Source organism: Homo sapiens, chromosome 15, assembly GCF_000001405.40.
Source record: "Homo sapiens chromosome 15, GRCh38.p14 Primary Assembly".
Classification (NCBI taxonomy): Eukaryota; Metazoa; Chordata; class Mammalia; order Primates; family Hominidae; genus Homo; species Homo sapiens.
In genome coordinates, this window is record NC_000015.10 from 30,903,155 (window position 1) to 30,917,854 (window position 14,700).

At 42.2% G+C, this 14,700-nt stretch overlaps 1 protein-coding gene across 9 annotated transcripts in view, besides 3 other annotated features; it reads left to right on the forward strand.

Moving 5' to 3' along the window:
- Nucleotides 343-1,340: an enhancer, noted in NCBI's record as "H3K27ac-H3K4me1 hESC enhancer chr15:31195700-31196697 (GRCh37/hg19 assembly coordinates)". NCBI's record gives its function as "activates a minimal SCP1, AML or CMV promoter by ChIP-STARR-seq in naive H9 embryonic stem cells {active_cell/tissue: H9 hESC(naive)}" and the evidence as "EXISTENCE:reporter gene assay evidence [ECO:0000049][PMID:30033119]".
- The window catches only part of FAN1 (FANCD2 and FANCI associated nuclease 1), a 39,257-nt gene continuing 25,254 nt past the window's right edge, over nt 698-14,700 (forward strand). For 2 of the 9 annotated variants that reach the window (XM_047432250.1, XM_011521372.3), the window contains exons 1-4: nt 1,358-2,743; nt 4,964-5,104; nt 7,460-7,661; nt 10,704-10,937. In XM_047432250.1, coding sequence (XP_047288206.1) covers nt 1,510-2,743; nt 4,964-5,104; nt 7,460-7,661; nt 10,704-10,937 — 1,811 coding nt within the window. In that variant the 5' untranslated portion in view covers nt 1,358-1,509. Of the gene's footprint in view, nt 734-760; nt 871-1,357; nt 2,744-3,216; nt 3,351-4,963; nt 5,105-7,459; nt 8,635-10,703; nt 10,938-14,700 lie in introns of those variants that run through there. The other 7 variants (XM_011521370.3, NM_014967.5, XM_024449874.2 and 4 more) reach the window with 7 other exon arrangements.
- Nucleotides 6,520-7,019: an enhancer, noted in NCBI's record as "H3K4me1 hESC enhancer chr15:31201877-31202376 (GRCh37/hg19 assembly coordinates)". NCBI's record gives its function as "activates a minimal SCP1, AML or CMV promoter by ChIP-STARR-seq in primed H9 embryonic stem cells {active_cell/tissue: H9 hESC(primed)}" and the evidence as "EXISTENCE:reporter gene assay evidence [ECO:0000049][PMID:30033119]".
- Nucleotides 13,978-14,477: an enhancer, noted in NCBI's record as "H3K4me1 hESC enhancer chr15:31209335-31209834 (GRCh37/hg19 assembly coordinates)". NCBI's record gives its function as "activates a minimal SCP1, AML or CMV promoter by ChIP-STARR-seq in primed H9 embryonic stem cells {active_cell/tissue: H9 hESC(primed)}" and the evidence as "EXISTENCE:reporter gene assay evidence [ECO:0000049][PMID:30033119]".

Below are 14,700 nucleotides of genomic sequence, written 5' to 3' on the forward strand. Positions count from 1 at the left end.
GGAGTAAGCTGAGATCGCGCCCCTGCACTCCAGCCTGGGTGACAGAGCGAGACTCCATCTCAAAAAAAAAAAAAAAAAAAAAAAAAAATTCAGCTGTTAAACACAGCCATTATTGAAAGTTAAATAAATCATATAGCTTTACAAATAAATTACATTAAAAACAGAAGTCATAAATACTCAAGACGCATCACTTCCTAGTCGCCACATTTTATTTCTTGGTTCTTGATGTTATTATTTCAAGGGTATCAGATAACCGGTGATTAGTACTATCTTTTGGAAAACCCAGCTCAGTGGTTTTCCAACTGAAACTCCCTCTCGCTTATTCGCAGGAGTCAGCTTAAGTAGAGCTCCGCGTGTTGGTTGCAGAAGTCGCCTGTCTTCCCCGCAGGAGGCTGTTTGCTCGCTTTGACACTGAATGCTCCCCCAACAAACACGTTTAGCTTGCTTGCCCTTCTCACCGACTGCGGAGAGGAGTCTCAGAGTGCACAGTCGCAGAGAAGGCGTGCGGGGGCGTGCAGGGGCGCACAGGCGCCTGCCTCTGCGGGTGGGAAAGGAAGGAGGTGCCCGGGTTTCCGCTCCCAGGGCTCAGCCTGCCTTGGGCACCTACGGTATGGGAGCCTTTAACGTGGAAAGGAAAGGAGATCGATCACTCGAGCCTCCACTTGCCAAGCCTGTGGAAGCGAGACGCGGGGATCGGCTGGGAATGCCTGGAAGCGCCGGCGCGCGGAGCCAGGTGGGAGGTGCGAGGTGGCCGCGCGGGGATCTTGGGTGACAGGGCACCGAGGGAAGGAGGACGCGAGGGCAGCCAGGCCCTAGGGAGCAGGGAGAGTGGCTCGGGCTCAGTCGCGTGGCCCCAGGTGCGCGTCCCAGGTGCGCGGCCTTGACCCAGCAGCGTCCGCCGTGCTGGCCGGGGCCTCGGCTCCGCAGCAGAAGCCGCGGTGGTGGCAGCCGGCGCGGGCGCAGCTGCCCGCGGCTGGGGCGTTTCATCTGCGCCGGCCTATGGTGCGGGCATCGCCCTGGGCCACGCGCTGATCGTCTCCATCTCACTCAGAAAAAGTTACTCATACAGTGGTCTTGTAAAGGGTCTGAAGTGGTCAAATTGTCCCTTTTTAGAAACGGATAGTTTTAGGTCTTAAAGATGTCCTAGAAATTACCCTTACAAGCCCAGCTCTGTCATTTTATAGTAAGGGACACTAAGATCGCGTACAGAGCTTGTCGGAGGGGCTTGGTCTTCTGTCTCACGCTCAGGGTTGTCTCCTCGTTACAGGAGACCTTGCTCTTAAACGTTTCAGAGTTCGCTTTTCCCCTTGCTGAATTCATAAAAATGTTTTTAATTTATATGTGTTTCTTCTTGTAGGAAGAAGAAATTGTCGAGACGAATAACATGAGGTCATATAGAATCCCACTTTTGGTGATTTCAAGTCAAGAAAGTAAAAGTAAACCATTGCTATCTTTCACCTTAAATATCCTGTGTTTTATTGCTCAGAACATCCAGTTTTTCTAATACTCATGATGTCAGAAGGGAAACCTCCTGACAAAAAAAGGCCTCGTAGAAGCTTATCAATCAGCAAGAATAAGAAAAAAGCATCTAATTCTATTATTTCGTGTTTTAACAATGCACCACCTGCTAAACTTGCCTGCCCCGTTTGCAGTAAAATGGTGCCTAGATATGACTTAAACCGGCACCTTGATGAAATGTGTGCTAACAATGACTTCGTTCAAGTGGATCCAGGGCAGGTTGGCTTAATAAATTCAAATGTGTCTATGGTAGATTTAACCAGTGTTACCTTAGAAGATGTAACACCTAAGAAGTCACCACCACCAAAGACAAATTTAACCCCTGGCCAAAGTGATTCAGCAAAAAGGGAAGTAAAGCAGAAGATCAGTCCCTACTTTAAAAGTAATGATGTGGTGTGCAAAAATCAAGATGAGCTGAGAAATCGTAGTGTGAAAGTCATTTGTTTGGGAAGCCTAGCATCTAAATTGTCCAGAAAATACGTAAAGGCTAAAAAATCAATAGATAAGGATGAAGAATTTGCCGGTTCTAGTCCACAGAGTTCCAAATCCACAGTTGTTAAGAGCCTGATTGATAACTCTTCAGAAATTGAGGACGAGGATCAAATTTTGGAGAACAGTTCTCAAAAAGAAAACGTGTTTAAATGTGATTCTCTAAAGGAAGAGTGCATTCCTGAACATATGGTAAGAGGAAGTAAAATAATGGAAGCCGAAAGCCAAAAGGCTACCCGGGAATGTGAGAAATCAGCCCTCACCCCTGGATTCTCAGATAATGCGATCATGTTATTCTCACCAGATTTCACTCTTAGGAATACATTAAAGTCTACTTCAGAAGACAGTCTTGTAAAGCAAGAGTGTATCAAAGAAGTGGTTGAAAAACGTGAGGCATGTCATTGTGAAGAAGTAAAAATGACTGTTGCTTCAGAAGCTAAAATACAGCTGTCAGATTCAGAGGCAAAATCTCATAGTTCTGCAGATGATGCTTCTGCATGGAGTAACATCCAAGAGGCTCCTCTGCAGGATGACAGTTGCTTAAACAATGATATCCCTCACAGCATTCCTTTGGAGCAGGGGTCAAGCTGCAATGGTCCTGGTCAAACAACCGGTCATCCTTACTACCTTCGGAGTTTCCTTGTGGTGCTGAAAACCGTACTTGAGAATGAAGATGATATGTTGCTCTTTGATGAGCAGGAGAAGGGAATTGTAACTAAATTTTATCAGTTATCAGGTATCTTACGCACGTGTTTGTTTTCAAGTTTTCATTCCCCTTTTGCTGCTCTGATTGGGGCATGATGTGATGGGCAGTAATCTAGTGACCGCAAGGAGTCACTGTGGTGTTGTGAGCACCCTGTGGGAGTGTTCATGGGAGTTGGAGCATAGTCGAAGGTTTTATTGAGAGGGATGCATGGAAAAGAGACAAGATTTTGTCCCGGGTGATGTTTACTCCTGCTGAACTTTGGTTACATTGGAAGCAGCTGTTTTTCTTTTATAGGTACATTTGATAGTTATGAAACAACCTTTTCCAGATTAAAAAACAATATAATGTGACTTAGAAAAGCATACTTTGCATTTTGAGCGTGTAATCAGGCTTTCCATTAGGTTGTTTTGTTGTTCCTCAAAGATGAAAGTAGAATAAAATACAATACAGGAAGAAAACAAACCAACCTGAGGCATATTTTCTTTCTCCCAACAACATTTTAGATTTATGGACTGTGCCTTTTAAAGACAGGGTGTGGAGGAAATGGAAACTTTCAAGCTGAAATTGGTACATTAAAAATACTAGTCTATGCCTGAAGTCCTTGGCAGCCAGGGGTGGCTCCAAGCCAGCAGTGCAGGTTTGTAGTAAAAGCCACCCTTGTGTCTTTACGGTGTTATTCAGAGGGCCATGATGACTCTGTGGAACCATGTCCCTGAGGGCAGGAAAAAACATGGTAGTCACACTGTCGTTTAGTAAAATGCGGCCATGTGTGACTCCTCAGTAGATAAAAAAGAGAAAAATCCTGAACATTACTATTGATGTTCAAGGGAAGGATTTCTATTTTAAATTCGCACAGTGAAATTATGGTATTCCTTGGGTTACTTTTTAACATGTGAGCGATACTTCTCTGGGCACAGCTGTGTGTAGTATCCACTTCCATCTCTACTTTTGCTGTTCTCACCAGAAGATGGACATAATAGCACATTGGCTTTTCTATCCAAACTAGTCACAGATCTTTGGTTGGGTGCTGATTGCATTCCTGGAGTATTTCAGAGATTGGTGGCTCTGTAATTCCATGTAATTGAGAAATAGGAACAGTTTTCCTAGTGCAAGTTCTGCATATGCATGTGTCTTGCACTCCATGGAGAATCATGTACAATCTGTTGGTGTGTAGAAATAATTACTGCTAATTGTTTTTGCCTTTTTTTTTTTTTAATTTTAAGTTCTTTTAGAGACAAGGTTTCTGTCTGTTGCCCAGGCTGGAGTGCAGTGGTGTAATCATAGCTCACTGTGACCTTGAACTCTTGGTCCCAAGCGATCCTCCTGCCTCAGCCTCCCAAAGCACTGGGATTACAAGCATAAGCCATAGGCTGGGCATGGTGGCTCAGGCCTGTAATCCCAGCACTTTGGGAGGCCCAGGTGGGCAGATGGCCTGAGGTCATGAGTTCCAGACTAGCCTGACCAACATGGTGAAACCCCGTCTCTACTAAAAATACAAAAATTAGCCGGGCATGGTGGTGGGCGCCTGTAATCCCAGCTGCTCTGGAGGCTGAGGCAGGAGAATGGCATGAACCCAGGAGGCAGAGCTTTCAGTGAGCCGAGACTGCACCATTGCACTCCAGCCTGGGCAACAAGAGCAAAACTCCATCTCAAAAAAAACAAAACAAAAACAAAACAAAAAAACAACCAAAAAAAACAACACCAGCATGAACCATCATGACAGGTCAATTTTGCCTTTTTAAAGAAGAAAGGAAAATAAATGTTGGAAATTTTCAAAATACAATTAAGCCATTTTAGAGTTGGCCGAAATTTAAAGATAATCTGGGTAATAGGGAGATTGAGACCAAACAGGTTAATTAAGAAGCTTGGTCAAGATTGCTGGGTTAGAGATGACTGCCCTACTGAAGCTAGACATTTTTTTTGGAAAATTATTTCAGATTATTTTCGATCAAATCAGAATAATGCATATTAAGCTAAGAGCAGAGAACAAAATAAGAATTCTGGGTAGGGCTTTTCTGAGGGAGTAGAAATGTTGATGTCTAGAAAATGGGGAACTTGATCTTAGAAGTTTTAAAATGACCAATAATTGTTACCAAATTTTTAAATGTACTTTCAAAATGGTTTATTCCATAAAATGAAGGCCTTATACATACAGTAAGCATATGTGTATTTCTAAATCGTACATTTATTCACCTTAGGTTTAAAAGGTAAATGCAGTGATTTTCAACATTTTTCTTAACTTTATTGCAGCTACTGGTCAGAAGTTATATGTAAGGCTCTTTCAACGTAAATTAAGCTGGATTAAGATGACCAAATTAGAGTATGAAGAGATTGCCTTAGACTTAACACCTGTGATTGAAGAATTGACGAATGCAGGCTTTCTACAGACAGGTATGACTAGTAGAAGGAGATGTGAAATGAAAATATGATCTGAAGAACTGAGCTTCTGCAGAATGATGGCAGTATTATTATGGTGCCCTCCCCGGGGTGGTGCCTGGTAACTTACTGTTTTTTAATTGAATTTTTAATCTTAGGACAACAAATTACTCATGTGATGCTAAAGCCATTCTTAGCCTGAGTTAAGAATACTAGAATAATGAGAGATGGTCTGCTGCTGTTTTCTTGACTGTGGCAGGTTTAGAATGAAAGTCACCTGGGCATAGACATGGGTGTGTGCCACAGAAGAAATACATCCCGGCCGGGCACGGTGGCTCATGCCTGTAATCCCAGCACTTTGGGAGGCCGAGGCAGGTGGATCACCTGAGGTTGGGGGTTCGAGACCAGCCTGACCAACATGGAGAAACCCCATCTCTACTAAAAATACAAAATTAGGTGTGGTGGCGCATGCCTGTAATCCCAGCTATTTGGGAGGCTGAGGCAGGAGAATCACTTGAACCCGGGAGGCTGAGGTTGCGGTGAGCTGAGATTGCACCATTGCATTTCAGCCTGGGCAACCAGAGTGAAACTCTGTCTCAAAAAAAATGGATACATCCCTTCTTGGCGCTCTCCTTCCAGCAAGAGCTTGACTCATCTTACTCAGAGTCCTCTTCTTTATGATAGAATAAAGCTGGTTGTTTGAAACCCATATTGCCTCTAAAAACTTCATCTGCCCCCCTTGCACACACATACAGTTCTTCGATTATGTTGATTGCCTTAAGCATTGTTGAATTGCTTTAAGCCTATGTGAACACTAAGGAGAGTCTATCTTCTGCAGTGATACCCTTCGTTGTCTTGTCAGTAGCATTCGTTAAGTACCTACCTATGTATTGGGTACAAAATTGTACTGTATTAGGAAAGGGAAATGTGAGCCTTGGGTTCAAGTTGCTGACATTTTAGACCAAAATAAGCGAATCAGCCAGCTGGTTTCTTTGGGGCAGAGTTTATTGTGGGGAGCAGTAAGTGGGGATGAAGCGAAGTGAGCAGGAAGTGTGTTAGGGTGGGGCTGGATGGCGTGGGATGGGGAAAGTTGCGGGAGAGGCATAAAAGCTCAGTGAAGGCGCTTGGTTGTGAATGGTTAGTGGTGGGACACAGGACCCTCTGCAGAGCAGCGCTTCCCACACATCAGTGCCAGCAGGGTCACCTGGGAACTTGATACTCAGTCCCCACCTGACTTGGAAAATGTGGTGCAGCTTCCGTAAATTCATATGTCTGACAGGCATGCCAGGTGACTGCTGCAGGTGAGCCTTGACTTACCTTCAAATGAGCAACAAAACCAGGATCCTAGTGGCTCACCGTGGCACTCAGTCAAGTGCAAGTCCCATCCATGCTCCAGCCCCATGGGGCCTGGCTCTGGCTGTCCCTCTCGCTTTCTGCCACGGCCACCCAGCCCTCAGTGTTCTTCACCAGGATGAGTGCATTCCTGTCTCAGAGCCTTGGACTGACTTTCCCCTCCACCCAGGTCAGTTTCCACCACGTGGCCACACGGCATAGTTCTCCTTTCCTTCCCCGCTGCGTGGTGTTACCTTGTCAAAGGTTTGCCTGACTACTGTGTGAAATACAGCCAGCCTCCTGCCAGCTTCAGTTTGCCTCCTGAGTTGTGTTTTTCTTTAGAGCGGTTATTACCACCTGATAAATTTGCCTATTCATTTAATTGTTACGCTGGGAGGCTAGCTCCTATGGATGGGATTTCTTTCACTGTAGCATGCCCGGGGCCTTAGAACATTACCAGGCCGACAGTGTACACCCAATAAATATTTGCTGAATGGAGGAAGAAGGCACTGCCCTAAACTTGTGAAGCCTTGAAGGCAAAGACCAGCGAGGTCTGACTGAGCCGAATTCCTAGGCCAAGGTTGGTGTCGGGGCCCACAGTAGCCGAACAGGCTCACGAATGCCGAGTGAGCAGGAGAGGCTTGTGGGAAGAAGAGGGCTGATGATCAGTTCTCTCTGACCTGGTTTGAGAGGTCCCATTTTGTAGGGGTTTTGTGACGAGAAAGGCAGGGAGTATATATTCCAAGCAGGTGTTGAGATGCCCAAACCATAATGGCTATCCATGTGTGTCTTTATTTTAGTTATGTTTTCCTTTAGATTTTAGTGAGAAATTCTATTATTTGATAACTTTTAAGAGATATAATAATAGTGTTATTAATACGTTAATAATACCATGTTAATAATTCCACATTTAATGATTGGTTTGGCCAACTAATTAAAATTTTCTTAGTAGCATTTCATTTTATTTTCATCTAACTAAGGTAAATAAAGCTAGAAAATAGTAAAATTTAAAAAAACTTTTTTTTTTAACCATTTCAGAATCTGAGTTGCAAGAACTCTCTGAAGTGCTTGAACTCCTTTCTGCTCCTGAACTAAAATCCCTAGCCAAGACCTTCCACTTGGTGAATCCCAATGGACAGAAACAGCAGCTGGTGGACGCCTTTCTCAAATTGGCCAAACAGCGTTCAGTCTGCACTTGGGGCAAGAATAAGCCTGGAATTGGTGCAGTGATTTTAAAAAGGTTTTGTTGGCTATTGTTACAGTAAAAACATTTAAAATGTTGATAGCACATATTAACTTACAGTAGATTGTATACTTGATTGAACTGTAATTGTTTATTTCAGTTGTAGTTAGATTGAGAAGGCTGGAAAAGCCTTAATTGCAATAGCCTGGATTCTTTCTTGGGTTATTATTCAAAATTTTTGTCGTAATACCGTACTAATTTCCAGGACCAAGAAAAATCGGAAGGCAATAGGCCTTTGGTAAATTGTAGTATTTTATTTTCCGAGAAAAATACAGTTTTAAGTGATTCTTATGGGATTTTAAGGTAAACTATTTAGTCAAATTTTTATTTTAGTTTTTGTTTACTAAACAAAGTATAATCAGGCAGTCTTAATGTGCAAGTTTTCCTGAGTTTAAACGTAACAATTTACCAAAAACTGTGAGTGGCTTCTTTTGTCCTTGAGAAGCCCTTGACCTGTTTCAGTTGAAAATTACAAAAACTTTTAGAATTGATTTCTTTTGCCCATGTTATTTATATAATCAAACTATATCAACTCTAGCCTGGGAATTCACTACTGTGGAGTCGAGGATGAAATGAGAGGATGCTTTTGAAAACACTTTAACATGATGTTGTTATTTATTTTATATATTTGTTTTGTATATTTCAGTTGTTATGAGCCCATCCTTGTTGGGGAGGTGCTATAAATACTAATCTTTAATGAAACATAGGTGTAATAAGGCAGACATTAAGAAAAATATAAATACCAACACTTGAAAAAAGCTCGTGTTATAGATTTTTAAAAAGTACTTCAATAAATTACATACTTGTAATTAATTGACTTGAGAAGTATAGAATCCTCATCTGTGTGGTATGTTAAATGTCTTCTAAGTCCTTTCTTTATCTAATTGTATTTCTTAAGTATTTGATGTTAACCTTATATGTAACATTTTATAAGCAAGTAAACATTAAATTTAGCCACCCTCTGGCTGGGCACAGTGGCTCACACCTGTAATCCCAGCACTTTGGGAGGCTGAGGCAGGTGGATCACAAGATCAGGAGTTCGAGACCAGCCTGGCCAATATGGTAAAACCCTGTCTCTACTAAAAATACAAAAATTAGCCTGGTGTGGTGGCAGGTGCCTGTAATCCCAGCTACTTGGGAGGCTGAGTCAGGAGAATTGCCTGAACCTGGGAGGTAGAGGTTGCAGTGAGCTGAGATCGCGCCACTGCACACCAGCCTGGGTGACAGAGTGAGACTCCATCTCAAAAAAAAAAAAAAAAATAGCAGCCCTTTCTTGGTATATGCACTTAGCATAGAACAGATAAAGTAAATAAGATGAACATATTTTATCTCTAACTTTGGACTTGTAGGAAAATAGAATCCTCAAGGCTGTTTTAGTTCTAGTGAAAACCACTGTCCTTTAAGGTTGTCCTTTATTTCTTCATTCTGATGGTAAAGCCCAGCAGTGGAATTTCAGAGTCCCTGCCAGCCCCACGCTAGGGCAGCGCCTGGTGCTTTTACTCTGCTGTTATGATAAAGAAACAGAAACAGCCACATTATTACAGAAAAAGGCACATTATTTATGCTTTCTTAATCCTTGCAGGAGTCACTGCTTAGTTTTCTGTGTTTAATGCTTCCTTTTGCAGACTGGAGGCTGTGTCCACTGGGGCATCCCCGGGACTCTGCGTGGAGGTGGATGAAATGGGTACTTTGGGGCAGTCTGTAGATGAGTGGCTCTCAGTTCAGTGGTGGTGTGATAGGAATCCCACCCCTTCCCCTTCAACTCCATGATGGTGGCACTCATCTCTCCCACACCCTCTGGGATGCAGTGCTGCTTTTGGTTTAATAGCTTCTGCACCAGAAGGGTGTGACATCTTTCACTAGCCAAGTGGTTCTCAACTGGGGGCATCTGGCATCATCTGGAGACATTTTTGGTTGTCAGTACTGGAGGTGGTGAAGCTAATGGCATCTAGTGACTAGAGGCCAGGGACAGGGCACTGCTGAGCATCCTATAATTTACAGGACAGCCCCTGACAACAAAGAATTACCTAGCCTAAATGTCAATAGTGCTGAAGCTGAAAAACCCTGCTATTGATGGTGTCTAAGCTGCTAGAGTCAGAGGGCCCACATGGTCCTGGATTTAATTTAGACCTCCAAGCCCACCTTGCAGACATCCAGAGTTGAACTGAATTCACTCCAATGTTATCCTAGAATAGAGATGCTGCTGGACCATTCTGTACACTAGAGAAGGGGTCTGCAACCCCCAGGCCATAGACCGATAACTGTCCATTGCCTGTTAGGAACTGGGCCACACAGCAGAAGGTGAGCAGTGTGCCAGAGAGCATGACCGCCTGAGCTTTGCCTCCTGTCAGATCAGCAGTGGCATTAGATTCTCATAGGAGTGTGAACCCTATTGTGAACTGCGCATGCGAGGGATCTAGGTTGCGTATTCCTTATGAGAATCTATTGCCTGATGATATGAAGTGGAACAGTTTCATCCCGAAACACCTCCCTCAACCCCAGTCCATGGAAAAATTCTCTTCCATGAAACCACTCCTTGGTGCCAAAAGCGTTGACTGCTGCGCTAGAGAACAGCACCAAACTTTGGCATATACATTTGCACCACGTCTTGGTACACAAAATCTGATGTTTTACCTGGAGCCTTTGATAATGACATTTTAAAGAAATACCATTATTTAATCTAAATCATCACTAGAATAAAAAATTGAGAATTGCTTCATGTTGACTAGGCAATACTTTTCTGAAAGTTTTCCTGGTATTTGAAGCACTCATGACCAGGGTAAACCCCAACCTACTGTGCAGCCGAGGAAGGAAGCACTTGTATGGAGCCAAACCATGTGTGGAACCATTTGGAGATGTACATTCATTTACTCCTGTGTATCCCTGGGTGAGCTCTCAGCCCCAGAGCAGTTAAGTAATGCTCCAGTGTTTAAAATAGTGAATGTCATTTCTCTTTATTTTAGATGAAAATAATTTGTAAAATCTGACATCCAAATGCTTAAAAAGCTAAAAGTTATTTCTACATTGTACATTTTTCAGAGCCAAAGCCTTGGCTGGACAGTCAGTACGAATCTGTAAAGGCCCCAGGGCTGTGTTTTCCCGCATCTTGCTACTGTTTTCGTTGACCGACTCAATGGAAGATGAAGACGCCGCTTGTGGAGGTCAGGGACAGCTTTCAACAGTCCTGTTGGTCAACCTCGGCCGAATGGAGTTTCCTAGTTACACCATCAATCGGAAAACCCACATCTTCCAAGACAGAGATGATCTTATCAGGTAAGATGATGTTAGCTCACTATAATGTCTATATGTGTATTTCACAATTTAGTAAAAGGTTTTGTTATTTTTTTCCAGCCAAAGTAGAAACATTAAGTCCACAGCCAAAACAGTTTTTAATCTTTTTTTGCCCCACTTGTATACATTTCTATGACTATAGGGAAAATGTAGAAGTGTGCTGAGATTATGGTTGCCAAAATCCAAGGAATTTTGAGTTAGAACTACAAAAACTTCTCTGGTTTATGTTTCCAAGTACCTTTGGAAGGGAGTATTTTTTGTTTGTTTGTTTGTCTTAATTTGAGACAGGATTTCGCCCAGGCTGGAGTGCGGTGGCATGATCACCGCTCACTGTAGCCTCAACCTCCTGGGCCCAAGTGATCCTCCCACCTCAGCCTCCCAAGTAGCTGGGACCACAGGCACATGCCACCACACTCAGCTAATTTTTGTATTTTTTTGGTAGAGATGGGGTTTCACCATGTTGCCCAGGCTGGTCTCAACTCCCGGACTCAAGCAATCCGCCCACCTTGGCCTCCCAAAGTGCTGGGATTATAGGCGTGAACCACCGCCCTCGGCCTGTATTTTTTTTGACACAGACATATTAACAAACTTGACTTAGGAATATGTTGTTGGCATGAACAAGACTGAATGTGAATATTTTCTTATTAGTAACACTTTAGGTAAAGCTATTAATAACTTGTATATTGTATATCATACATATGATAATTAGATATACAGATGATAAATTAGAAATTTTCACTAATTTATATTGGCACACGGATTTAGTGAAAATTTGGTTTGTCCAATAAAAGTAGATTTTGAACTAAAAGTAGAACTACCATGTGATCCAGCAATCCCACTACTGGGTAATATCCAAAGGAAAAGAAATAGGTATATTGAAGAGATATTTGTACTCCCATGTCTATTGCAGTCTATTCACAATAGCCAAGATAGGGAGTCAACCTAAGTGTCCATCAGTGGATGAATGGATAAAGAAAATGTGGTACATATACACAATGGAGTACTGTTCAGCCATAAAAAAGAATGAAATTCTCCATGGTGGCAACATGGCTGAGCTCAGAGGACATTATGTTATGTGAAATAAGCCAGGCACAGAAAGACAAATACTGCATGTTCTCACTCATATGTGGGAGGTAAAAAAGTGGATCTCACAGAAGTAGAGAGTAGAATAGTGGTTACCAGAGGCTGGGAGGGGAAGGGGGATAGGGAAAGGTTGGTTAACAGATACAAAAGTGCAGCTAGGTAGAAGGAATAAGTTCTGTTGTTCTGTAGCAGTGTAGGATGACTATAATTAACAACAGTTTATTATATATTTTTAAATAGAAGAATGGATTTAGAATATTCCCCACACAAAGAAATGATAAATGTTTGAGGTGATGCCTGGTATGGCAACACATGCCTATATTTCTAACTACTCGGGAGGCTGGGGCAGGAGGGTCACTTGAGTCCAGAAATTCGGGACTAGCCTGGGCAACATAATGAGACCCCATCTCTAAAACATTTTCAAAAAAGTTTGAGGTGCTGGATATGCTAATTACCCTAATTTGATCATTATACATTGTATACATGCATTGAAATATCACACTGTGCCACATAAATATGTGCAATTTTATGTTAATTAAAAATAATAATAGATGCCAAACAAATAATGGGATTACAGTATTAAAAAGCAGGTTTTGATAAGAAAGAATAGTGTAGGTCTTAGGAAAAAAAATTTGGATTTCCTTAAAAAAAACACCTTTGGTAAGAAAAATTAATTTGGATTTCCTAAAATGTCACTTTTGATTCTTGATTTGGATTTCTGACTCAAATTTAACCAAAATTGATTGTGATATTTGCTTTTAGGAAAGTCCTGTGTTTCTAGGAAAGCCAGGTGCTTTAAGAAGTAAGTTATTGAAATTTTTGAATCACAGCAGTGTCAGTATAATCTGATTTTGGCCCATTTTACCTTAGCTGTCAGGAAGCTCAGTATCTTATTTGTGTTCAATGGGAATAACTTTTTTAGTTAAAATCTCTAATAAGACTGTTTATTCTTACCCTGTTTTCAGTTGTCTCATATCTTTTTTACCTTTTTTGTTTTTACTGGCTTTACGCTTTTCTGGCTTGTGAGAATGTATACTCTGAAGCCAAGTTCCAGTTTCTATACCAATGAACTGTGAACCCACCCTGTGCCTCAGTTTCCTCATCTGTCAAATGGGGAGAATAATAGTATATTCTTACAGACATGTGTGGGGTGCATGGGAAGTGCTTAAAGCCTGGGCTATGGGGAATGCCTACTACATGTTCATTATTATTTTAATTGTCATTCTTACTGTTATACCCAAGTTCTATGACAAAACCATGGTTGACAAGTTCAAAAGGCATCTCATATTCTTTCTAGAAAGTAAGTGTGCTGTAAATAATAAAAATAATGAGAACTCCCTTGGTTAAGCAGAGAGCCTTAAGATGTAAATGAAACTGGATTTAATTGACTTCTGGAAAGGTAATAGTATTCAATATCTGGTAATGTGATACCTGGCCAGGAAACCCTTGTTGTCTACCTCTGTACTTGAGATAATTTATCCTTTTAAAATGTTTCTTATTCATTCAGTACAAATGAGTGTTGAGTACCTTTTATGTGACTTGGTTAGGGGTTGTAGCAGTGAACAAGAGAGGGCCTCAGCCATCATGGGGCTATGTTTCCTGGGGAGATAGAAATTAACCACTATTTAAAGTGTGTGAGAAGTGCTGTGATAATTGAGGGACAGGCTGGATAAGTTCTTTATAGACAGAGTGGCCCTGGAGAGGTGACATTTGAAGTGGGACTTGAGGATGAGAATGAGGTAGCTGTGTCAGGGTCTGGGTGCCTGCGTCCCGGCCGCGAGATAGCATGTGCACAGGCCCTGAGGCAGGAAAGAGCTTGCTGAGTTGGAGGAACTCAGGAGACCCCTGGCTAAGATGTGGGGGTGGACAGGACTGGGTTGTTGGTAGCGGCAGTGGAGAGAAGTGAATGTGTATGAGGCAGTTTGGAAGCAGTAAAGACAAGACTTGATTCTGATGTGGGCGAGAAGGTGAGGAGTGGATCAAGGATGGCTCTGGTGTTTTGCCTTGGGGTGGGGCGCCATCCAGTGAAGGGGATTGGGAGAGGTGTTGGTGCTGGAGGCGTCAGTGTGTGGGGTGCTCTTCAGCCGTTTGGTTGAAGCTGTTGTGTGTGGCATTGGACTTGCGGTCAGGAGCTCAGGGAATGGGTCTGGCCTGGAAAAAGTCAACATTTTGAGAGTCACTGGCATATGGACAATGTTTGAAGCCATGGAACTGAATGAGCAGCATATTATAAAAGAATGAGATCTAAGAATTTGTGAGCAAACTTTTACATTTGGAGGCAATTTCTTTACTCTTACTTTACAGTGTTTGTACATAATGATATTATGTACTTCATGCTTTTCTTTTAGATGTGAGACCAAAATACAATGAACATGTACTCAAAGTGTTAACAGAATTTGTTGGTCAAATGTCTTTGTTTTTTGGTAGCTAAAGGAGCGATGAAAAATTGTCTTTCTTAAGCTAAGTTGTGTTGTAACATTTCAGCGTTGCCATCTCCCAAAGAGCATCCCTTAGTTATTTTGAAATATTCCAGGTAATCTTCTTAGCTTGGGCAGCATCCCTCTGGCTAGCTCTGATTGTAAATGATTAAATTATCAGATCTACATCTGACTATAATTCTGATGTCACTTACATGTTTGCTGTCATATTGTTGAATGAGTGA